Source organism: Homo sapiens, chromosome 1, assembly GCF_000001405.40.
Source record: "Homo sapiens chromosome 1, GRCh38.p14 Primary Assembly".
Lineage (NCBI taxonomy): Eukaryota > Metazoa > Chordata > Mammalia > Primates > Hominidae > Homo > Homo sapiens.
The window spans coordinates 111,885,324-111,909,019 of NC_000001.11; the positions used below are offsets into that span (position 1 = coordinate 111,885,324).

A 23,696-nucleotide genomic window follows, 5' to 3' on the forward strand; every position below is an offset into this window, starting at 1 on the left:
CTCGAATAAAGACAATGATGGCATGCTTATCATAGGTACAAATGTCATAAGACTGGTAGACATGAAACTATGTCAGATGAAATACTAAGGATTCACAAGGATTCCAGACTTTGTTAGTGAAAACAACAAGCTTCAGGGCAGTGTGCACTACACATTCCCATTTGTGTAAAAAGTGAGTCAAATATAAAAATGAATTTTGATACTTGCTTAGAGCTGCATAAGGGAGCCCCAGAAGGGTGCATGAGAAACTAAGAACAACATTGTCATTACTTATGTGGAGGGAAGGCCAACTGGGCAGATGAGAAACAAGTGTGGTACGGGAACGTTTCCATTTACCCTGTTACATTTTGTGATTTTTTTTTTTTTTAGACAGAGTTTCACTCTTGTCACCCAGGCTGGAGTAGAGTGGCGTGATTTTGGCTCACTGCAACCTCCGCCTTCTGGTTTCAAGCGATTCTCCTGCCTCAGCCTCCTGAGTAGCTGGGATTACAGGCGCCTGCCACCATGCCCAGCTAATTTTTATATTTTTAGTAGAGATGGGGTTTCACCATGTTGGCCAGGCTGGTCTCGAACTCCTGACCTCGTGATCCACCTGCCTCGGCCTCCTAAAGTGCTGGGATTACAGGCGTGAGCCACCGTACCCAGCTGCATGTTTCGATCGCTAGACATGATAGTGTGTTATCTACTCAAGTAATGTAATTAAAAACAGAACTCAACCTATAGTGTGGCTGAAATCAAATGCAATGCAATTGAACAGATGCAAATAAATCCTGTATTAGTTTAAAAAGTTAATTTGGCAATGATGAGTATAATATCAGGCTTGAGAGGTTCATGTGAAAATCAGGTAGGAGGTTTTAGATGGTCACAGGCCATTAAGTCAAACAACAAGCAGACCCACCAACATACACAATGAAAGCCTGGACTGTTTATGGTATCTGGATCAAGGGAAATGGCCCATTGTACTCTGGGCAGGTCAGACCAAATTCAGCCTTACCTTCATTTCTGTCTGCTATATTTTTGGAAAGGCATTGACAAGTGTGTACAAAGAACAGTGACCTAGATGGCAAAGGCCTGGAAACCATGAAAAATATGGGGAAGAGGTGATGAAACTTGGGACATTTAAATTGGAAAAGATTTAGAAGGATATGAAACCTGTCTTCAAACATTTGAAGGCTTGTCCTGTGCGAGGAGGGTTAGGGGCTTTTTGTATAGCTCTAGACTGCAGAACCAGGCCCTCTTCAATTTATTGGGAGGCCAATTTCAGTTTAGAACCATGCAAAGGCTGCTTTGTGAGATAATAATAAAATAGCAACACTTACTGAGCACTTACAAAGCATCAGGCCCTGTGATAAGCACTTTCTCTGCATTATTTCCCTGACTTTTCACAACATCCTGGCCAAGGCACTTACTTCATTGTCATTTTAACCAAAAGGAGAAAGGAGGCTTACAGAGGTTAAGCAAACATGCCTGAGGTGACATGGCCAGTAGACGGTGGATTTGTGTGACCCCAACACATATATGCTTGACCACTAAGCCTCCTTCCTGAAGGCAGTGAGCACTGTATTGTGGCCAGTATTAACAGAGGGGTAAACACTGCCTGGTCACCATGCTCTGAGGAAATTCTTGGAGCAGGTGGGAGAAGCCTGTTTCATGCTTACCACACTGTAGTCCTCTAAGAAAATAAGCCCTGTGTGTGTGACTCTGCCAGGGAAAGGAGTGAGGCATACGGAGAGAGAGAGGCAAGCAGGCTCCTGCTCACAGCTATCTAGGGGCTAAAGTGGAGTTTTTGGTGGAGGTGGTGGTCTGTAAAGAAGTCAAAGAGGTGAGTGCCGAGGAGAAACGCTGCCCCAGTGCTGAAGAGTTGTCTGTTCTGTCCACGGAGGCTTGTGGCAGCACTTACAAGTCATTGGGTATTATGCTTCCTGACTCACAAAGCCCCTTTGAAGACATATCTCATTTAAGTAATCATACCTTGTGAGAAAATACAACTCTGGCAGGGTGCGGGTGGAGAGGGATGGGGAGAAGTTTCTCCAGAGACAGAAGGGGGAGAACCACAAAAGTAAGAGAACAATTTGGTGGTGGTCATACCAGAGAAGGACAAAGAGGGGAAGGTGAGAGAGGAGAGAAAAAATATCTAAGGCTTCTCAACCTCCTCTGGGGCCCAGCTGGGCCAGCTCAGCTGCCTCAAGGACTTAACAATATTTCCAAACTAAACAAGCTCCAAAAGGCAAATGACCCCCGGTCACTGCCTGGTTCCTCTATCACACAGTAGCAGGGGTAAACATTTACCGAGTGGAGAAAGGAAGAGCCAGCAGGTAAGCCACATTTAAAGCAGGCTGAATCAGAGCAGATAAACCAAGGGGCCAGCATATAGCTTTATCAAGTTATCTGATGTGCTGGCTGGAAAAGAGAAAGACCTGCGGCACTTAAATATGAGAGGGAATCACTTCAAAGCATCCAGGAATGGGAAATTCATGCTCAGTGGGAAGGACCTGGGAGAAGGACTTGTCATTTGGAGAGGGCTCTCCCAGGGAACCCATGTACACAGGAGACTCAGAAAATTAACATGATATCTTGAACAATAATCTTACACCTTAGACCCAACTACAGGGACAGCCCTGGAAAAGGAGAAAAGTCCCAGGTCCTGGCAAAGGCTGTGAGCCAGCCCACAAGCCAACACAGTGGACCTAGCACAAGGTACCCCTGGCTGGGTGTACCAGAGTGATGGGCAGAGCAAGGTCCAGAGAGGGCAGAGGAGCTGGGAGGGCAGGGATTGGAGGCAGGCTCTGCTCAGACCAGCTGGAGCCCTAACTGTGGGGTGGGAGGGAAGAGGGATGGGACTTACGCAGTGGATGCCTGGCAGGGGCAGCAGAGCATTGCCCTCCAAGGGCCAGAGGCCAAGAGAAGAAGCTGGAGGTGGTGGGGATTGTGGTAATTACAAGAGAGGGAGAGAAATGGGAGGGAAAGGAAGATGGCAAGAGGCTGTCAAAAAGAGCTGCAAAGGAGGATGAGGGCAAAGATTACAGAGAGACAGAGGCAGATGACACACAGAGGGTGGCAGAAGAGAACAAAGACAGTGAGGCCGGGTATGGTGGCTCACGCCTGTGATCCCAGCACTTTGGGAGGCCAAGGCGGGTGGATCACCTGAGGTCAGGCGTTCCCAGCCTGGCCAACATGGAGAAACCCAGTCTCTACTAAAAACACAAAAATTAGCAGGGCACGGTGGTGGGCGCCTGTAATCCCAGCTACTCGGGAGGCTGAGGAAGGAGAATCGCTTGAACCCAGGAGGCAGAGGTTGCAGTGAGCCAAGATCACACCACTGCACTCCAGCCTGGATGACAGAGTGACACTCCATCTCAAAAAAAAAAAAAAAAAAGAAATAAAGAAAACAAAGACAGTGACATGAAGACCCAGGTACAGAGAAACCCAAAGACAGACAGAAACCTCTGCAGGGGCTACCGAGAGAAGGAACAATGGAGAAGGAGCAGCACAGAGAGGCAAGCATGCATTAAGAAAGGGAAGAGAAGAAAGAACCCTGGGCTTTGGTGAGGAGAGGCTGCAGAGGAGAGGAAGGAAGCCCCTCCTGCTGTCTGAAGTCCCTTTGGAGCTTATCCTCTTGGCACTCACCGGGAGCAGCTTTGCTAATGAGGGACTTTTCTCTGGTTGTGTGTGCGAGGGCAGCAGGAGGAGGGGCAGGGGTTGGTTCATCACTGGGACTTCTTTAGATCAGGGTTTTGTGTTTATCTTGATGTAATGAGTTCGTTTGGGTAAATGGAGGCGATGTGGCTGCAGGGCTGGGGTTCACTGTATTGTTTTCAGCAACCTGCTGCTCTTCCCCGGACCAGCCACAAACCACAGACATAACCACCATAAGTGAACAGAGGCCTGCCCCAAAAATTCAGGGGACAGACACCGCAGCCTTGCCAATGGGTCTGCCCCATGGACTGAGTGACGGCCCCTGGCCCTGCTAAAGCAGGGAGGAGACCAAGATGGGACCCTGGCACCTGCTAGTCCCACTGCCTGCAATGCCTTCACCCAGATAATCACTCAATAGGCATTTATGGAGCACTGGCTCTGTCCTAGATGCTTAGAATATCACTGCACAAAACAAAGATATCTGTTCCTGTAGAGATCAGGAAGTTGAGCTTCTAGTAAAGGAAGGTTCTAGTAAAGGAAGATTCACTTAAATAGGTAAACCACACCATCTGTGGGAAGGTAAGAAATCTTTTTTTTTTAAATCATTTTAGGAGAATTTTTTGCCAAAGTTAAGGATGCACCCAGGAGACAGGTCTATGCCTGTCTCTGTGATTTTGAGGGCTCCAAATGTAAAGGTGAAGGGGCAGGATATTGAGAAGCACACAGTTTTCACATAAACAAAAGGAGCAGAGGAAAAATGTAGGGAATCTGCATTTTACATAAGATAACACAGACAAAATGGGGTAGGGGAACAATAAGCTGGAAGGTAAGAAATCTTATGGAGGAAAACAACAGAGCAGAAGACGGGGAGCAGGAGGCCTGGGGAAGTCAGGGTAGCTTCCTTCAGGGGTGACATCTGAGGGGGACAGCCCTGAGGATCTCTGAGATGTGTGAATTTCAGGCAGTGGGAACAGCCAATGAAAATGTCCTGAGGTGGAAGCATTCCTGGAACATTGAGGGACAACAAACAGAATGGCTGGTCGGGAGGGACTAGGAGCAAGAGTCGCATTCAATGACTCCAGAGTGGCCATGGAAACCAGAACATGGAAGACTCTGAAGGACACTGAAGAATTCAGCTTTGCCTCTGGATGAAATGGGGAGGAATTGTAGGGTCCTGGGCAGAGGAAAATATGCTCTGCCTTAAGTTTGCAAAGGGTCATGTTGGCAGTTGGGATGAGTAGATAAGGAGTCAGGAATGCAAGTGAAGACCAGCTAGGAGGACATTACAGTAAGCTGAAGATGGAGATGGTGAGAGGGGTCAGTTTCTGAGTGTGCTCTCAGGGAAGAGCCAGCAAGATGTCTTGAGAGGTTGGATATGGGCGTGAGATTAACAGAGGCGTCAAAGCTGACTCTAAGGCTTTTGGCTTCAGCACCTGGAAGGATGGAGTTCTCCATCAATGAAGATATATGGGTGGAGCAGCTTTGGGCCAGGCAGCTGGCAAGAGAAAATCAGAAGTTCAGTATTGAGCCCATTGAGTTTGAGATGTTTATTAGACACCTAAGTGTAGAGGCAAAGAACTCAGATGGGTATGTAACTCTGCAGTTGGGGAAAGAGATCAGCAATGGAAATATAAATACCAGAGTCTTAGCATGCAGAGTTTTTAAAGGTGGGAGACTAGAAGAGATGGCCAGGGAGTGAGTGTAAATGGAGAAAAGGACCAAGAACCCAATCCTGGGCTCTCCTGCCCAGGAAGGAGAAGAGAAGCCAGCAAGAGACTGATAAATAGTGAACAGCAAGGTGGGTAGACCTGGAGAGTGTGGTGTCCTAGAAGCCTGGAGAAAAAATCAGAGTGTGGTTTTATGGAGAAGAGAATAACCAACTGGCTCAACCATCTCTTACCTGAGAGTCATCAGGTAAGATGAGAGGTGAGAAGTGACCATGGGATTTAGCAACATGGAGGTCACAGTGATCTGGACAAGAAGTGTTTCGGGAGAGTGGTGCAGGTGAAACCCTGAGTGGGGTGGGTTTGAGGGGGCGTGGCACTGACAGGCTGCATGGCAGAGTGACTGAGACCACAGGTCTGGGCACCAGCCTGCCAGGGGTCAGAAACCAGCTCTCCACTTACTAGCCATGTGACTGTAGGCAAGTTGTTTAACCTTTCTTTGCCCTATTTCCTAAATCTGAGGCCACCTACTTCATAGGGTTGTTAGAAGGATAAAATCACTTGGTGTTTGTAAAGGGTTGGGCACATGGGCAGCACAATAAATGCTTATCAGGTTACAAAGAAAAAAGGAAGAGAATGGGCAAGAGATGAATCAGACCATTCTTTTGAGGTGGTTTTGCTGCAAAGAGAAGGAAAAAAATGGTGAGAGTCTGTTTGCAGGGAAGTAGGGTAAAAAGGAAGGTATTTTAAGAAGGAATAAATAACAGAATGTCTGAGTGCCAGCCTGAATGGTCCATCAGAGAGGAGACTTCAAGGATGCAGAAGGCTTGCTGGAGTGGTGTCATGCAAGAGGCACAGTACCTACGGCACAAATGCACAGACGGTATGTGCCCTCCCTCAGCTCCCGAAGGGCATCCCCACCAACACCCTCTCAGGGAGACCGGCACTTATTAACTTGTTAAACACTGTTCTCAGCTGTCCCCATCTCCCTCTCTGCTTTACCGTTCTCCATCACATGGGTTACCAGCAAACTTAATCATGTCTTGTGTTGTCTGTCCCACAACTAGTATGTAGATTCACTAAATGCAGAAATTTTTGTCTGCCTTGTTGACAGTTGTATCTCCAGATCTCAATAAATATTTGCTGAGTAAATGAATAAATTGGTATCTGTACTTAGTTTCTTGCCATTCGGGGAAGAAAAGTCCTCTTCTTCATTTATTCTACACATACTTTCTGACCATCTACTATGTTCCAGGAACTGTATTAGATCCTGGAGACTTGAAGATGAATCAGACACCATCCTTGCCCTTATTTAGCCTGTGTGTGTGTGGTGTGCGTGTGTGTCTGTGTGTGTGTCTGTGTGTGTGTGTGTGTGTGTTGGAGGAGAGCAAAAAATAAAAAGCAATTCCAAAACTGTGTCGTCAGTCTTACAAGAGAGGGCTGTTCAGGGTCTTGCAGACTTGGGAATAAGGGACAGGGAAAAGCTTCCTAGAGAAGGGGCAGCTGGAACCTGAAGAACAAAACCAGAACTGACGACGACGGATGAGGCAGGTGTTTCAGGTGGCAGAGCAACACAGGCTGAGGCCTGGCGGGGAAAGGGAGCATCCAAAGCTCGCCTCAGTGCTTGTGCATGAAGCCTGCCTGGTCACTCAGCCCCCTAGACTCTCTCTTTCTCTCTCTCTGCTCCAACCCTAACATCTCATGTTGTATCATTTATTGGGCATTGCCCTGGACAATGCAGTGAGCCAGCTCTCCAATGTGTGAGTCTTGAGACCTCAGGCAAGTGGTTTTCCTTCTCAGGGAAGGGGCTCTGGTGCCCATAGCAACAATTCATGTGTAATAAGAGCTCAAGAGTCATTTGCTTACAAAATAATTCTTGAGTGCCTACAACTTGAGTGCCAGGCTGTTTTCTGGGCAAAAGGGAGGCAGCTGTGAACAAGACAGACCAGGCTATGTTTCCTGGAACTATAGTACATTCTATGAGGGAAGGTTATGCAATAAATAAATGAACACATACATGAAAGATAATATAGTGCCACGCAGAGAATAACAATGGGTAATGTGATCGGATGGAGTGGGGCTCCCCTAGACTGGTAATCAGAAAAGGTCTCTGACAGTTAATTGATTGATTAATTAATTCATGTCTCTGACATTTAAGCTGAGACTGAATGATAACTATCTACTGAACCAATTAATGAACAAAAGAGAAGTAGGAAGGAAGACTTTCTGAAAACCACATTCCCGGGAGGTATAGAATTCAAACAGGGAGCCCAAGGGCTGAGACGACACACCAAAGTATCCTCTAAGATATAAGAAGACTTCCTGGAGAAGGTGAGTTTTGCTCACCTTGGACTTGCAAACGTGATTAGACAACTTGGCTTTTTGCTTAAGCGATGACCTGAAGAGAAGGCTCTGTGTCAACAGATGCTTATTGAGCAGATGCTCTGGGCTGAGCTGGCTGAGGACAGGAAGATGGTGACAGAAGACCATCCCCACCCTCTGAAGGCTCACAGTCCAGAAGTGGGAGATAGACAGGTAAACAAACAATTACAATAAACAGTGATGTAGCTGATGAAGGCTATGGCAGCCCGGCAAGTACAGAGTACTAAGTGGGAAGTTGTGAACTCTGGCTGGGCAGACAGCTGAGAGAGGGAATGTGGGGTCTGGGACACTTGACGGAGAAGGTGACATTTGAACTGGGGCCTGAAGGATGACTAGGAGTTTGCTGGGAACCAGGGTGGGGGCAGGGAGAAGGCCCTCAGGAGGTGTTCAGGGAGTGCAGAATATGGAGGAAGTCTTGGAAGAATGATGGCCTTGGTAGGAGACTCGGGACTATTGAGTGCCAGGCACAGGCTGTGGAAGTGTGGCTGGAGAAGGTGGGGAATATTTTTGAAAATTCCTTAACTCTTTAAGGAATTCACATGTAAATGAGGTCATTTCTATAGTACAGGCAAGGCTAGAAAACTCAACACTACTTACCTGCCCCTATGCGGTGCTTCACCCTCTGTTAGGTGCTCCCTGGGGGCCAGCCCTTCTCTTAGGAAGCCAAGTGACTCCTTGACCTATCAGAGGTGAACAACCCAGGGCCCAAGTGACAGGAGTCATGGTGAGAAGGGGTCAGGTTTGAGATGGCCTTGAAGGTAAAGCCAGCATTGGTCTTTGACCCAGGCAACTGGGTTAATGGTATTGACACTGACATGGGGATAAGGTCAGATTTGGGGAGATAAGAACCAAGAGCTTCATCTGGACACAGTAGGTTTGAGTTCCCTGCAGTTTGAGGGAGAGGGGAGGACAGAAGAGAAGAAGGTCCATGCCCCCATCACTCAGACACTGCACTTGGCCTTCTCCTGGGGCTCTCCGGTCCCCTCTGCTCCCCACAATCCAACCTCCACACATCAGCCAGAGTGAGCTTTTAAAGCATGAACAAGATCAAATCAGCCAACTGCCTCACAGTCTCTAGTGGCTTTCCACTGCACCTAAAATACAGGCTAAATCTTCCCCAGCCTATGAACGAGGGCGCTGTGGTGTGGTTGAGGGCTCTTCTCAACTCCACGTGCCTCTGCCTTACCCCACTTGTTCACTCTGCTCCAGCCTCACGGCCTCCCTCCTTCTCTCAAACACGCCAGGCTCATTCCCATTATGAGGCTTTGGCTGTGTTCTATGTTCCTCTCCCCCTAGAATGCTCTTTTCCTGGGCCTTTGTGGAGCTAACTTCTTAGCATCAGGCCCTCAGTCACTTTCTCAGAGAGGCCTTTCCTCATAACCCTGGTTTAAAGTTGTCTTTCTCTCCCACCCTACCCTGTTCCATCTCCTTCATAGCACTTTGCTTGAAGTCATCTTAGTCATCTGTACATTTATGTGTTTTTTATCCCCCCACTATCACCAGCATGTAAGAGCAGGAACTTGGTCTTATTTTTGGCTCTACCCCAGATCCTAGCACAGTACTTGGCACTTAGTAAATAGTTTGACTCTCTTCCCGGGAATGAAGGATGGCAGGCGTGATGACTAGCAGGCTGCGCTGCACCACGGCAATGTGGGAAGCTCCTAGCTGGGACTGGCGGAGGCTGCAAATGGCAGGGTCATCAGGCCAGCAGCCATCTGGTCCCAAGTGTGTAGAGAAGGGGAGATGCTCTGGCTACGGGGACTGTGCCTGCAAGGAAGGCCTCTGCCCTGTGCCTGCCTGACCTTTCTACAGATTTCTTTCTCCTAAACACATACCCAAAGAGATTCCTCCTCAGCTGAAGTCAGAGCAGCAGCAGAAGGAGGAGGAGGAGGAAGAGGAAGAGCAGGAAGAGGAAAGAGGAGAAGGGAGAAGAGGAGGAAGAAAGTAGAGGCAGGAGAAGAAAGAGGGGAAAAGAGGGAAGGGAGAGGACTCAGGGGGAGGGAAGGGGAGGAGGAAATGAGGGATGAGAGGGAGATGTGGAGAGGGAGAGGAAGCATGAGGGAGGAAAAAGAAGGGAGGACAGGGTGAGAGGAAAAGGAGGGGAAGGAAGAGGAAGGGGAGGAGGGAGAAGTGGGGAGGGAGAAGGAGAAGGAAGGAGGGGGAAGGAGGGAGACCAAGAGCAAGGAGGGGGAGGAGGCAGGGTGAGGACGGAGAGGGAGGAGGGAAGGATGATTCTACCTCAGCTGTGGGACCAGGCTGTAGACCAGACTGCCTGGGGGTTTCTCTGCTTTTACCAAATCTGAGGGTCAGGGGGAGGCCTTTGGGCAAAAACGTCATGCATTTTACATGGCCTTGGCCTCACAGAGCAAAGTGCACACCAAATGGGGAGGTGGGGGAAGGGGTAATAAAAATTAAATTAAAGAAATTTTTTAAAGTTGGAAGAACAAATTATTTGGAGACGAAGCAAAAATATCTGTGACATAGCGAGCACTGTTTTAATGACAGCCCGTGTGGGAGGACAGTTTAGTCATATTTTTCATTTTCTCGTCCCCGGGGAGCTGCATCCCAGTGATCAGGCCCTGATAGCAAACTGGCATGTTCCCTAGATCAGTCACCTTCCAGGCTTATTCAGCAGCAGGATGAGTCAGGGGGCTGCGGAGTAACCCCTTCTCCATATGCTCAGAATGCGCTAGCGCGCCTGCCGTGGGGAGTGGAGGGGGCCAGGGGGCTGGATGCGGAACAGGCCTCGGGCCCAGTGGGTGGGCAGGAAGCTTCAGCGGAAACGCTGCCAGCTCTTCCCGGGGCCAGCCGGCTGGTGTGTCCTAGCCTCCTGCAAACTCCTGGGGGTAAGAGTATGACGAGTCCTGTATCTGGGGCCACATCAAGTGTGGAAAAGGATTTCTTCGAAGAAAGCTTGATTCACTGCCAGGAGGAAGAAGTTCAGGAAGCAGTTCTGCCATCCCCTCAGGCATGAGCACTTCCAGGACTAAGATAAAAATAATGAGGATAATTTTAAATGACTGCCAGGATGCGAGAGCTGACTGCGGGCAACATGCTCCACGCGCGTTCATTCACTTCTCTTCATAACAGCCCCGGGAGGCAGGTGTGACCAGCCCCACGGTGCTGAGGGAAGCAGAGGCTCGGAAGCGGAGGGACCTCCCCGAGAACACGGTGAATACGCGTCAGAGCAAACCCGGAACCCGGGCCTATTGGCTTTGAGTCTGTCCACGGACGGCATGACGTGGTGGTTGAGCACCTGCTTCTCTTCTGAGTTGGAGGTGGTGAGAACACAGGAGGGGACTGACCCCCTATTCCTGGCTCTTCACCCAGAAGATCTCAGCTCGCTGTCATTACTATTTTATTTTTAATACCATTTGATTAATACCACATGACATGTTCTCTGGAAATCAGGAGGGAGCAGGTGTGGTTCTTCCTGTTTTACAAGTGGGGACCCTGAAGCCCAGAGAGAGGAGGCAAGTGGACATGGTGCTGACAGAAACTACGCAGTGCCATCTGGACCCAACAGAACTGGGCTGGAGGCTACCTGTCAGCTGTCTAGTAGAGAGCTCATTATTTGAAATGTCTACCTGTATCTTCCTCATCTGTAAAATGGGAATGTTGAGATCCACTCAGCGGACAGCAATAGGTTCAAATGAGCAAAAGGAGGTGTGTTTAAAATGCTGTACAAACTCTACAGTGTCAGGCCAAGCTGGAAGGTGGCATCCCCTTTATGGGCATCATCATCAAGTCCTAGTTAACAGCATGGGCTCTCAGACTGCCTGGGTCCAAATACTGGCTCCTTCACTTATGAGCTGTGGAACCTTAGACAAGTTACTTAACCTCTCTGTGCCTCAGTTCCACCATCATAAGTACCTTCCCTATGGGTTGTTACAGGGGTTACACACATACCACATGTGTAAGTGATAGAGTTCTGGCACATAGGAGGGGCTTAGTCACTATTATTATGACCACCATCACTGCCCCACTCCTGCAAACTGCAAACTCCTTAAGGCAGGCTGGGGTCTGTCTTGTCCGCTGTTGTATTCCCAGGGCTTAGCACACGGGGCAGGCGAGGAGCAGGTGCTCAGCCCACATGGGGCAAGTTGGGGAACGGACACCAGCCCCCGCCTTCCTACAGCGCTGGCCCTGCCCATGAACTGCAGGACTTTCCTAAGTCCTCATCCACGTTTAGTGTTTGTAGGATTTCCTGGGGTTGCTGTGACAGTCCAACAGTCCCAGGGCGGCCTGCCTCTCTGCACCCTGGTGGTCCTCACAGCCTAGAGAAGGGAATCTTCCCCACCCTCTATGGTTTGCCCTCTTTGCAATCTGCTCACCCCAGAAAAATATGGACTCAGCCCTTGGCAGGGCACCTGGACCTCAGTCCCAGATGTCCTTTCAGACATTGCATCTGGTTTTGTGGCTTCCTCCTTGCCGCCTCCGGAGGTGCTTTTGCCTGTGTGGGGCAGTCAGGCACACAGGCCTCATCTGTGCGTGCTGGACAGCTCGGTGTGTGGCGCCCTGTGAACGTGCGTGGGGCACAGGAGCGGAGTGTGTCTAGCTGGGTATGTGGGTTTCTGCCTATGTGGGGCCAGGTAGGGCAGGGCATGCAGGTCTGAGGGCAGTGGACTGAGGCGTTGAAGGCACATGGGCTCACTTGTAAGTCTGGGGTACAGAAAGAAGCTAGATCATCCACGTGTGGCTGAGGGGAGCTTGGGTGCAGGTGCAGAAGCTGGCTTGCAGGTTTATGTGTACATATGTCACATGGGGAGAGGGCAGGAGTGAGTCCCCACAATCAGCTCTTAAGACAGAAATTCACTTCGTATTTTATTTAGAACCTGAAGAATAGACAAACACAGGCCAGGCATAAAGGAGAAAATACTTTTTATTTCCAAATATGCCTTAGGCCACCAAATACTTTGGGACACCAGCGGTTTCTTACCTCCAAGTACCACCTTCCTTCCATAAACACGGTCTCTCTCCCTCTCCAGCCTCATTGGTCCTTGGGCAATTCCTACAAGAGCACCCCACAAAACTGGACTGCTTAGGTTTGCATCTCAGCTTAACATTTTACCTATGACCCTACGCATGGTCCTTGTCCTCTGGCTTGGTTTCCTCAACTGTAAAACAGGGACCACAACAGTATTCTTCAGGGGGTTGAGGATTAAATAGATCAATCCACCTGGAATGCTTAGAGAGTGAAGGACTCTATTCATTTTAGCTCTTACCTTAGCCTTTCTTTACCATGATTCTACCTCTGGGTGGGAAACAAAAGTGAATTTTAAAATGCCCATCACCTGCTTTGAGAAGGTCTTCTTGAATCTGCCCACCAGGGTTACCTCCTCCATCTGCTCCCCCGTGGCTCAGCACCTGTACCTCCACATGCCTGGCACATGTGCAGTACTCAAAAAGACCTTATCATTCTGATCATCGCTTGACATTGACTGCACCAGGTTACAATTGGTGGTGCACGTGGCCATCTCCCTGGGGAGACTACAAGCTTCCTGAGGGCCAGAACTGTTCATTTGCCCCTTGGTCCCTGGGGTCTGGCACAAGGAGACTTTCAGTAAGCAATAAGTGAAATGAAAACTCAAATATAGCAGCCCCATGGGCAGTAAAGTCATGTGTTTACTGTTATTTACTGAGTGTGTGCTTCAACTGTACACAAAGCACAGGCCTTGCCCTCCTGAAGCTGAGTCCAAGGGAAAGGGCGAAACGGAGACAGAAAGAGGGGAAACAGCAGAGACCACAGAGTGTGGGGTCCAGACAGCTTCCACTGAGGCTAAGAGGGCAGGGGGCAGAGTTGGGGGTAGAGGACACAGTCCTATGACCACAGCTGCCTCTGGCCCTCAGCTGCAGGACCACAGACCAGCCTAACATGGCAACCCCATTTCCTCTCCTATTTAGGTACCAAGCATTGCTGGGGCTCAGCACCATCTTACTGTTCTTTTTCCCATCATCAATTATAGTGGCTGTCCCACTAGTGCCAGGAACAGGGTGGCATAATCCTATCCCATCCTCCTACTAGCTGTGGCAGGAGTACTCTCTAAATCTCCCAAAGCTAGAGATCTGGGTTCCATCCTTACTCCACAGTGCTTCTTGCTGAAGATCTGCTCACAGTGCAGCCCCACAGTGACTACAAGGGTCACTATCAAACCTCTGTTCTGTCTCCTCCCTGCTTTCTGGCTCAATACCTAGCTTATCACTGTTCCAGCAGGTGACTCCACAGAGCCCTGATAGTAACACTGATCCCCCAGGGGCTTCTCATGAGGATTCAATAAAACAATGAAGGTAAAGCACCCAGGTCTAGTTCATGGGAAGCCCTCTGCAAACACCAGTCCCTCTCCCTTCCATCTTTGCTTCTTTTCCTTCTGCTCAATGAGCATCAATTTGAAAATGGCTTTATGTTCTGCTTCTTGGCCTGAGGCAGGGACCGGGGTCAGGGAGGCAAGGTGGCCCTGGCCTTCTGCCTCTTGCTGTAGGTGATGGAAGTGATATGTCTGCAGAAAGGCCTCCTAAGATCAAAACCCAATGGCAATTTCTGTGATTTCGCACTCCCTCCACCAGTTACAGGGGGTCTGCCACAGTGAGGAGACTGGATTTCATTAGTTGTACTCTAGACCACCCCTTAAAAGTCAGACCTGGGAAGTTGTTTTTAATTTCCTTATAGATTGTGTGTGAGCACTCAGGTACACATGTGAGTGTGTGGGTGTGTGTCAGCATAGGGCAGTTGCAAAGGAAGGCAGGGAACAGAGCTGGACACTCCTAGGTGAGCTGTTTGGCCACCTGGGTATATGTGTGTGTGGCACTTAGGTGTGGGTGAGCCCCAGCAACTAAGAAGGAGGAGTGTGATACTCACAAGCAGATTCCTGTACATGCTCCTTATGAGTCCTCGGGGGAACCACACATCCATGCAATGCCTCCCAGGACTCTCTGCAACATGACCCAGAGCAGGGAATGATCACGGGCACTGATCGGGGCATTACAAAGCAGTGAGGAGGCAGGGGTAGTAGAATCAACTTGGCGCCACACAGGAGTGCAGTGTTAGATACTGTGTCTTGCCTGGGACCTGTAAGCATGGTGCTGGGGGACTATCTTAGCCATTACATATATACAGACATATGGATATGCAGGGCTGCTGGGCACCTCACCCTTGCCTTCTCCACATCTCTCCCAAGAGACCCCTGCCCGGAGGGAGAGACCCTTCTCTCCCTCTGACCCTTCCCACTTCAAGACTCTTTACCTCCCTCTGGAAAGCCCCAGTGATGCTGTATCTGAGACTACGGTGCAGAAGCATTTCCCCGGACCTGCCTTCCAAACCTCCAGGAGACAGCATTTCAGGTACTAGTGACAAGTGTGCTTACCTGCCAAACATTCATTTGCATAAGGCACTGGTTTAGATTCTAAAGGAACCAAACAGCAGCCTCCACCCTGCAAACTAGCCACTAACTTGAGTTTGCAGAGGGGCAGCACTTCCCTGACACTGTGAAAACAATTAGATGAATGCAGTGTTGCCACTTAGGAGCTTTGTGACTACCGCAAATTACTGAGATTCCTGGAGTCTATTTCCTCATCTGTAAAATGAGGAAAATAAAACTGTGTTTATCTTGTATACTGCCATATGCCCAGTGCCTGGTAAACAGTGAATGCTAAAAAAAAAAAATACTGATTGAGGCCAGGCGCAGTGGCTCATGCCTGTAATCCAGCATTTTGGGAGGCCGAGGTGGGCGGATCACCTGAGGTCAGGAATTCGAGACCAGCCTGGCCAACATGGTGAAACCCCGTCTCTACTAAAAATACAAAAATTAGCCGGGTGTGGTGGCATGCGCCTGTAATCCCAGCTACTTGGGAGGCTGAGGCAGGAGAATCGCTTGAACCTGGGAGGCAGAGGTTGCAGTGAGCCGAGATCACACCATTGCACTCCAGCCTGGGCGACAAGAGTGAAACTCCATCTAAAAAAACAAAAGAAACAAACAAACAAAAACTGGTTGAATGAATAAATGAATACAGAAGGATTGTTATTGGGATTGAGTTGAGGGAAGTAAAGAATTTATCACAGCAATGTCACATATTATGAATTGAGTATAAGGTAGTTATTATTGTTAGCTATTATCCAGGAGCAAAATCTTATCATTCAGTCAGATTGGTTCCCAGAGCTAATATAAAAGCAGGTAATTAAGGATAAATAGTGACATGCCCCAAAGAATCTAGCAGCTGCCCCTGGAGTCCAAAGGGTGATGTGTTATATTGCATTCCATTTAATTTAACAAGTTTATATTGAGCCCATCTTATGTGCCCAGAATTGGTGAGATCCCATGCAAGCTACAAAAGAATTAAGTCAGGCTACCTTCCTAAAGGAGTTACTTTCTACTTGGAGAGGCAAGATCAACACTTATTAGCATAAAAGCTTTCCAGCTGGAGCCAGAGACTCAGCCTGCATTCTAAGGGCCGGGGCAAAACTTTCATTTGTTTCTTCAACAAATATTCATAGTGCACTGGCTGTGCAGTGGCAGGCCCCTAGCTAGGCACTGGGGACCCGGAGATATATGATGAATTCAATGAGCTGCTCCCAGACTAAAGAATGAGACCTCATGAAAATGGGTCAGGACAATAAATGCTGAAGCAGAGCCCAGAGCGCCACCTCTGTAGGCGGTGGGGAGGCTCATTCCCAGTACTTTTGATGAAGAGGCTTAGGAAGAATGCTTTCTTTTTTTCTGAGAGATGTGGGTCCCAAAGCCCCAGCCTGACCTCTCCTGCCTGGAGGCTGGAGAACCAGGTTGTCCACAGGCACCTCATTTTGACCCCACCCTGAAAGCATAATCTCTCACCACGGTCCCCACCCCAAGGTTCCCAGGAATCTTGGAGCATCAGCTCTGACCAGAGGGGAACTTAGAAATCATCTGAATGAAAAGTGGAGCCTCATTTTGCAGCTGAGACTGAGGCCAGGAGAAGTTGAGGACCCCAAACTACTCCATTAGGCAGCAACAAAGCTGAGTAAGATCCCACGTGCTCAGCGGTTTACTTACTAAAGCACAAAAATGCTTGAGGATTCAGAATCTCCCAGAGCCCCCTCCGGCCTCACTCAGGTGCAGCAGGTGAATGAAGAGAGGTGTATCCTTGCTCCCAGCACCTGGCCAGTGGGTCCGAGATAGGAACGGGGCTCAAATGACCAGTGAGGGGGCAGCCAATCCCAAAGTGGGTCCAGGCCTCTGGGGAGCTAATACGTGGGACACTTTGTACTGCAAGTCAGAGAATCCAGTGTGCAGGGATTAAAGGGGTAACGGAGCAGGTGAGGAGGACGTGACTTAACAACACACCTACATCCAGTGGCAACTGAATGAGCCTGGAGCAACAGACAGCAATTTGGTGGAAGGAAAGGCACCCTGGGACAAAGGTGAGTGCGGATGAGGGACACAGGGAGTGTGGCTAAGAGAGGCCCCCAACACCATGCTCACAGGTCCTGGGTAGGACACAGTGTCTAACACCACACTCCTATGTGGAGCCAACTTGATTCTACTAGCCCTGCTTCCTCACTTCTTTGTAATGGGAGGGGTTTGTGAATGCACCTGTCTCATGTGCCCACTGCTCGTTAGTGTTAAAAACTAGTGGTCCACAGGTCTGGGGCCAGGAGATCCTTTGGATTCCAATCTGAACTTTGCCAGCTACTTTCCAGTGTTGTGCCCCTGGGCAAATTTAACCTTTCTGATCCTTTGTTTTCTCATCTGCAAAATAGGGATAGCAATATCTACCTTGAGGTTGTTGTGAGGCATAAATGTGATGCACTTGGTGTCAAGTACCTAATACTGTGCCTGGAATATACTAGGTACTCAGTAAATAATATGATTAGTACCTTCATATATCCCCCTGCCCATTCTGAACACTTGTGAGAGTAGCAGAGTGCTTTGCTCATAGTAGGTGCTCAATATATATTTTTAAAGATCCGTATTTACATATATACAGACATGTGGATATACAGTCAACATACATGTGTAAGTGTTTACACACATACATATAGGCTGTAGGAGCTCAAAAACAGATTCTGAAGGCCAGAAGGGATTCTTTCATCCAATATGCTTTGGGGCAGAACCGGGCTGTCCAGAGAAAGAGGTGGAACTCTTTCTCTCTGACTCCAGTCTGGGACATATACTCAGCCTGGCTCACTGTTCCCTGAGAGTCTGGTGACCATCAGACCAGAGGGAGCAGAAGGAAAGTACCAGCTTCAGTACCTCGCTGCTTTCTCCAGCCTTCCTTGGTGCCTACTTACTATCTCCAGGCTAAAGTTAGAGCAGGAAAGGCTGAGCAGGTGGGAGGCGGAGGAAGGTCATGTGACATTCAACACGGATGTAGTGGGGGAGGGAAGATTTTCCAAATGTCCCTGCTAGCATCCAGCCTAGCCACCTGGAGACAGCACCCACTCAGTATGTCCTGGGCCAACTGTGGCCAAGCCTCCGAAAGCCTCTTCTCTGCTCAGGCTCAGAGTGATGCTGCAGAGTGAAGCTTTCAGGGGAGAAGCCATTGATTTCTGATCTCTGAATCTGCTCATTAAGCAGCAGGGTGACTTGCATCTACTGCCATATTTGAGCACAATTTGAACAATGAGAATTATCTTGCACTGAAGCCCTCACCTGGCATTGGTGACATCTCTGAAAGAATGCCAGGCTGGCTGCATACTCCCCACACTGACTGGCTGGGAGGGGGCCTGAGGCCAGAGTCAGGTGGTCATCTGCCTTCAGTCACAGTCCCCCAGACCCATGGGCTGCTCCTCCCTGCCTCTCAGCCAGTTCATAGGATGCTGATTTGCATGAGTCTCTCCATGTCTGTCCTTAGGTCTCTCTTTCATGCCTGTGTTCTGGGAGCTTAGGAGCCTTGGGAGGCCAGAACCTTGATCCTTTTTCCTGGTCTTTCTTATCTTACAATGTCCAGACTGAGGGAGCTCAGTCCAGGCCACTGGATGGGCCACAGCTTGGGTAGCAGAAGTGAGCGGAAGGACAAGCAATTACCTGGTGAATTCAGGCAAATAAACAATTTGTTGGCCTTCTGGCTCCCCTGGTGTGCTGAATCCCTTTCATGTCTTTTTGGAGGTTGGTTTTTTGTTTTTTTTTTTTTTGTCCATTAACCTCAATTTCCAGCAACCTGAGAGTTCCCACTGCACCCCTCCCAGATGGTGGAGTCCCGCCAAAGGGACATTACTCTAGGACCCGGGGCAAAGGCTCAGTTGCCCTGGGCTCTGCCTCTGGTCTAAGGGACTAAGCTGACTGCTAAACAACCCAGAGGACCCCCTATTTTGATGATCCTGTCACCCTTCCCAGCACCCACTGGGCCAACCTCCCTCCACTGTCCCCAAGGCCTATGGGTGGGGTTGGGGGTTGGTGGGTGGCTGGAGGAACCCTTTAGGGGCAGCTTTCCTAGCTGCTATAAATCAGCTTAGCTTTGCTGTTCTCTTCCCTCTTGCTTTACTTTTTGCCTGTGTTCTTTTAACCCTCTCTATGGGCAAAACACAGCCCCACGTGAGTGTGCCTAATTGAGGAATGTTAAGCCTTCCCATGCTGAGCTGGAAGTCAGCCTCTTTCAAAGCTGTCCACTGGGATGTACCCAGTGCAGGAGCTAAATATAGAAAGGGCTCCCTCCTCCCCCAGCCTCCCTCATCCTCTGTGGGCACGGGCACAGGCGAGAATCGATGCTACGCTTGGTGGCGACGGCAAGCTGCGTGACAGCCGCCCCTGCTTAGAGACCCTTATCTGCACCTGCCGCCGATTGGCTCTGATAGAGCCCTGACATACTGGGGACAGGAAGTCACCATGGCGACCTCACACAGTGGAGCGGGGAGGGGACAGGGGCTTGACTCTGTGGAGGTAGACTCAGGATGCACTTGGGCCACCACCCTCGGGGGCTCCCAGCTGGCCAAGCAGGGATCACGTCCCTCTGCCTTGGCCACTCCAGGCCACCTGCAGAGGGGGCAGCCCTGTCAGTGATGGAGGGGGAGACAGCCTGTGTTATTCACGCCGGAAGTCCATGGCATTCTCAGAGAGCTCTTCCCCGTACCTCCCCAGAACACTGAGAATGGATGAATCAGTCCCGGCTCATCAGAGCCTTTCATGCTAAACCAGCCCAAATGACTGATTTAGAAACTGCGTGGTCTTGTTCTTTGAGTGGATTTCTGAGGCACACTCCAGAGCAGGCCCAGGTCTTCATTATCTCCATGCACACCCTTTGATTAAGCATCTGTGACCACACAGCACTGTGTGCTGTACCCAAGGAGGCAACAGAACAGGAGACACTGATGGGAGACACGCACCCAGAACACCCAGGCAGCAGGGAAATAATAAAAACAATATTGCTGTACCAGCACTCAGCTGATCACCACAGCCCTGTGAGGAACTGCTAGAATTCTAACTGAATATGAGAGTAGAGAGGCTCGGTGCTTTCACAAGGATCCCTGGTAAGGGGCAAAGTGGATGCACTCAAGTTTTCCAGCTCTGGTACCGGGTAAGGACATCTGGTGTTTACCAAACACTGGACCATGCGTCTGCAGCAACAGAACTCCCTGGGGGACAATCTTAAATGCAGATTTGTGGGTCTCGCTCTGACCTGGAGATTCTGCTTCCAGAGGTGGAGGCTGGTGTTGATCAGTCTTCAGGTGACTATGGCGTGCAGCCCTTCTGGGAGTCGCGTATAAAACCATCAATGCTTCCTTCAGGAGCCTTGGTGAGCACATGGTCCAGTGAGTCTCAGCCCCAGCAGGGCATCAGAATCACCTGGGCAGTTTAAAGGAACAGTAATGCCTGGGCCCCACCCAGGCCCTTTCAAGTAGAATCCTTCATGCTGGGGCCTGGGGACGCCTGACCTTAGAAAGCTCCATGGGAGATTCTAATGTGCAGCTGGAACACTGGACCATGTGCCTGCAGCATTGGCCCCTGTATTTTACAGATGAGGACCCTGCATCTCTGTGAGAGGGAGTGAGTTGGATGAGCTGTCAGCAGTCTCGTAACTACCTGGGTGGAGAACTAGGAGAACCCAATGTTTTGACTTTCATTTCAAAGCTCTCTCTACTTCTAAGCTCTGTGTCCTGGGGGCTGTGAGCCCCAGAGTAGCCACTGGAGTCCCATTCTCAAGGGTGGTGTAGGGTGGGAAGAGTATACTAATTTTCCTTTCCTAGACTCATTAGTTTGGAGAAAGAGCTATCAGGCTGTGAAAGAAGGTAGAGATAGACACATAGAGCCTGATGCTTTAAAGTGCATGTGGTGTGCAGAGACCCTCAGTCTCTGGGGTCAGCATTTGTGACTATGAACACGCCCGAACATCTGCACCACCTCCTCTGCCTGGGAAACAGCACAGCGTCTTACCTGGCAACATCCAGCCCATGTTGTAAGGACCCACTGTCCATGTAAAGTTCCCCACTGTCCAGACCATTCCAGAAGAGGAGCTTCCATCCTTTCTGACCTCCTGCCATTTCGTGTCAGCATCAGTTATTTGGCAGTTGTCATTTACTTGTGATATGTGACACCTAGAATCACTATTTATTTTTCTAAATAAAACAAAATGTAACTCTTTTCCTGTCTTATCAAGCCAAATAAGCAACTTGATTTTTAAATTTTGCCCTAGGCTGGACCTGGTTCTCTCTCAGGACACTGCTTCTTTCACCTTGCTTTTCCTCTCTACCCTGGGCTCAGAGATATCCCCTCGATCCCAACTTTTGGGGTTGGGGGATCAGGTTGTGCTGATCATTCATTCTTTCCTTATTCCAGATCTCTCTGTGCACAAAGCGTCCACTCCTTAATCCAGTCTGACCACAGCCATCAAGATGGATCCAAAGAAAACTAGGGAAACAGCTGCCCACTGCTTCCCAAGCTTCCCATGCTCTCCTGACTTCCATACTCCAACATCTCTGAAGCCTTTCTCATCCCCACACACCACACCTTTCTTCCCTCTAAAGTCTTGCATTCACTGTCCCTGCAGATTAAAACACCCACTCCCCTCTTCTGGCTAACATTTCCTGTCCTTCAGGATTGGTCCAGAATTTGCTCAGTGGGATGACATCTCTGTCCTCATTTCCCCCCTACTGTCCCCCAATCCTGGGCTCCTGTTCCCTCGTGTTCAGCCAGCTGTCACAGCACCTGCCACACTTCATGGGGCACAAGTGTGCAATAGAGATTGATGAACTGATCTCCATGAGAGAACAGACTTGTTGCTGGGGTGTGCTCAGGGAGTCCCAGATGTTGTCTTCAGATGCAGAAGAGTTAAAAGGCAATGTTTTCTTTATGTGTGTACAAAATAACAAAGGGGAAGACTCTCAGACCATATCCTATTGGTATTCACATCTTGTGTGTTGCCCTTGTGTGTGGGCTGGACTTGTTGACTTGCTTCTACCTATTATGGCAGAAATGACATGGCGTTCATCTTGGTGGCCTCTGTCTCTCAGATCAACTGCCCTTGTATCGGCTGTCAGCTGTCATGACAAGAGGTAGGCCACATGGTGAGGAATGGAGACCAACCCACAACCATGTGAGTCAAGCCTTTAAGTGACTGCAGCTCTGGCTGACATCCTGACTACAATCACGTGAGGGTTCTTAAGCCAGAGGCACCCAACTAAGCCATGTCTGGATTCTTAACCCACAGAAACTGTAAGATGATGAATGTTTGTCATTTTTAGGTAGCTAAGTTTTGGGGGAATTTTGTTATATAGCAATAGATAGCTGATTAATATTTGTCCTTTGTATTCCTCCTATGTGCACACATGCTGTGAGCATAGCACCTAATAGGGCTTAGAACAGACCAGTGGACTGGAAAGGAAAGCTGTCTGGAGACTCTGTGCTAGGAAGCAGAGCCCTGATGAAGACAAGCTCAAATGCCAGCTCTTCTACCAGCTTTTTAACCATTCTAATACTCACTGGATTCTGCCTCTCTGCAGTGTCTCCAGAACACACTGCCTGTCTTAGTAGTTCATTGTCTTTCTACTTGAAATTCATTCATTCATTTACTCAATTAATATTTGTAGAGTGCCTCCTAGGGACTAAGGACTATTCCCCACTGCAGAGGAGCCTGCAGCTCCCAATGCCGACATAACAGCTTTACTTGCGTTGTTCCTCTTCCCTTGGTTTCCCTGAAAACACTCTGAGGGTTTTAAGAGTCACTCTCCTCCTTTCTCCCCTTGGATAGATCAAGATTTGACTGACATTTATTTAGCACCTATCATATGTCTGGAAAGCAGCTGGGCACTTTTCCATGCATTAGCTTATTTAATCCTCACAAATGCTTGCTTGTGAGGCAAATATAATTCCCATTTACTAGTGAGTAAATCAAAGCTCAGAGAGGCAAAATAACTTGCTTCAGTTGCACAGTAAAAATAACAGCAAACCCTTTTGGAATGTTCTGAACAAACTCATTTAGTCCTCCTCCAGCCCAGACTGAGGCAAATAAATGTTAGGTAACTTGCCCAAGTTTACACTTGTAAGCTAGTAGGTGGCAGGGCCAGGAACAAAACCTAGGGCTCTGACTTTAGAATTCTTATTCGTAACAACACTAAGGGTTGTAGCAGGACTAAAATTCAGAGTTAGGTCTTTGGACTGGAGTCCCCAGTCTGTCACCCCTGCTCAGAGATGCTCTTTCCCACCTCCTGCCCAGACCCCCTCCCTCCACCCAACTTCTCTCCCGTGTTCCAGTGATGTTCCAATTTGATGATGAATTTGCTTCTCTTGAGTATTTCCTTGACTTAATTCAACACTTTTTTTGTCTCAAAAATGAAGAAATCAGAACTCTTCTCCTATCATAGAAAGGTCACCCATTCCCTTCCCCAACTTTGTGGAGGTCTTGCTATTGGGGAGACGTGTGTGAAAGGGAGAAGGAGGGGGGCAGACAAGAAAGGAATAAATAAAACTAAAGCAGCAAGGAACTTCCCATCTCGGTGGCTAAGTTCTGTTTCAAAATGAGTCCAAAACTCTGGTCTCATGCCTTTTTTTTTTTTTTTTAAAGACTGTGACAGTAGGAGAATAATGTGAGCTGGCAAGTAATAAACAGTTT

At 49.0% G+C, this 23,696-nt stretch overlaps 1 protein-coding gene across 8 annotated transcripts in view, besides 2 other annotated features; it reads right to left on the bottom strand.

Annotated features, from left to right (window-relative positions):
• Positions 1-23,696, bottom strand: part of KCND3 (potassium voltage-gated channel subfamily D member 3) — a 219,007-nt gene that overhangs the window by 114,662 nt on the left and 80,649 nt on the right. Inside the window, exon 3 of one of the 8 annotated variants that reach the window (XM_006710632.4) lies at positions 10,221-10,668. The exons of the other annotated variants lie outside the window; for them this stretch is intronic. Within the exon in view, the coding sequence (XP_006710695.1) occupies positions 10,647-10,668 (22 nt within the window). The 3' untranslated portion in view covers positions 10,221-10,646. Of the gene's footprint in view, positions 1-10,220; positions 10,669-23,696 lie in introns of those variants that run through there. 8 annotated transcript variants of the gene reach the window in all.
• Positions 6,330-6,530: a silencer, noted in NCBI's record as "peak364 fragment used in MPRA reporter construct". NCBI's record gives its function as "represses an SCP1 promoter by STARR-seq MPRAs in K562 erythroleukemia cells {active_cell/tissue: K562}" and the evidence as "EXISTENCE:reporter gene assay evidence [ECO:0000049][PMID:32103011]".
• Positions 13,238-13,457: a silencer, noted in NCBI's record as "fragment chr1:112441183-112441402 (GRCh37/hg19 assembly coordinates)". NCBI's record gives its function as "represses an EF-1alpha promoter that drives an FKBP-Casp9 reporter gene in an ReSE screen in K562 erythroleukemia cells {active_cell/tissue: K562}" and the evidence as "EXISTENCE:reporter gene assay evidence [ECO:0000049][PMID:32094911]".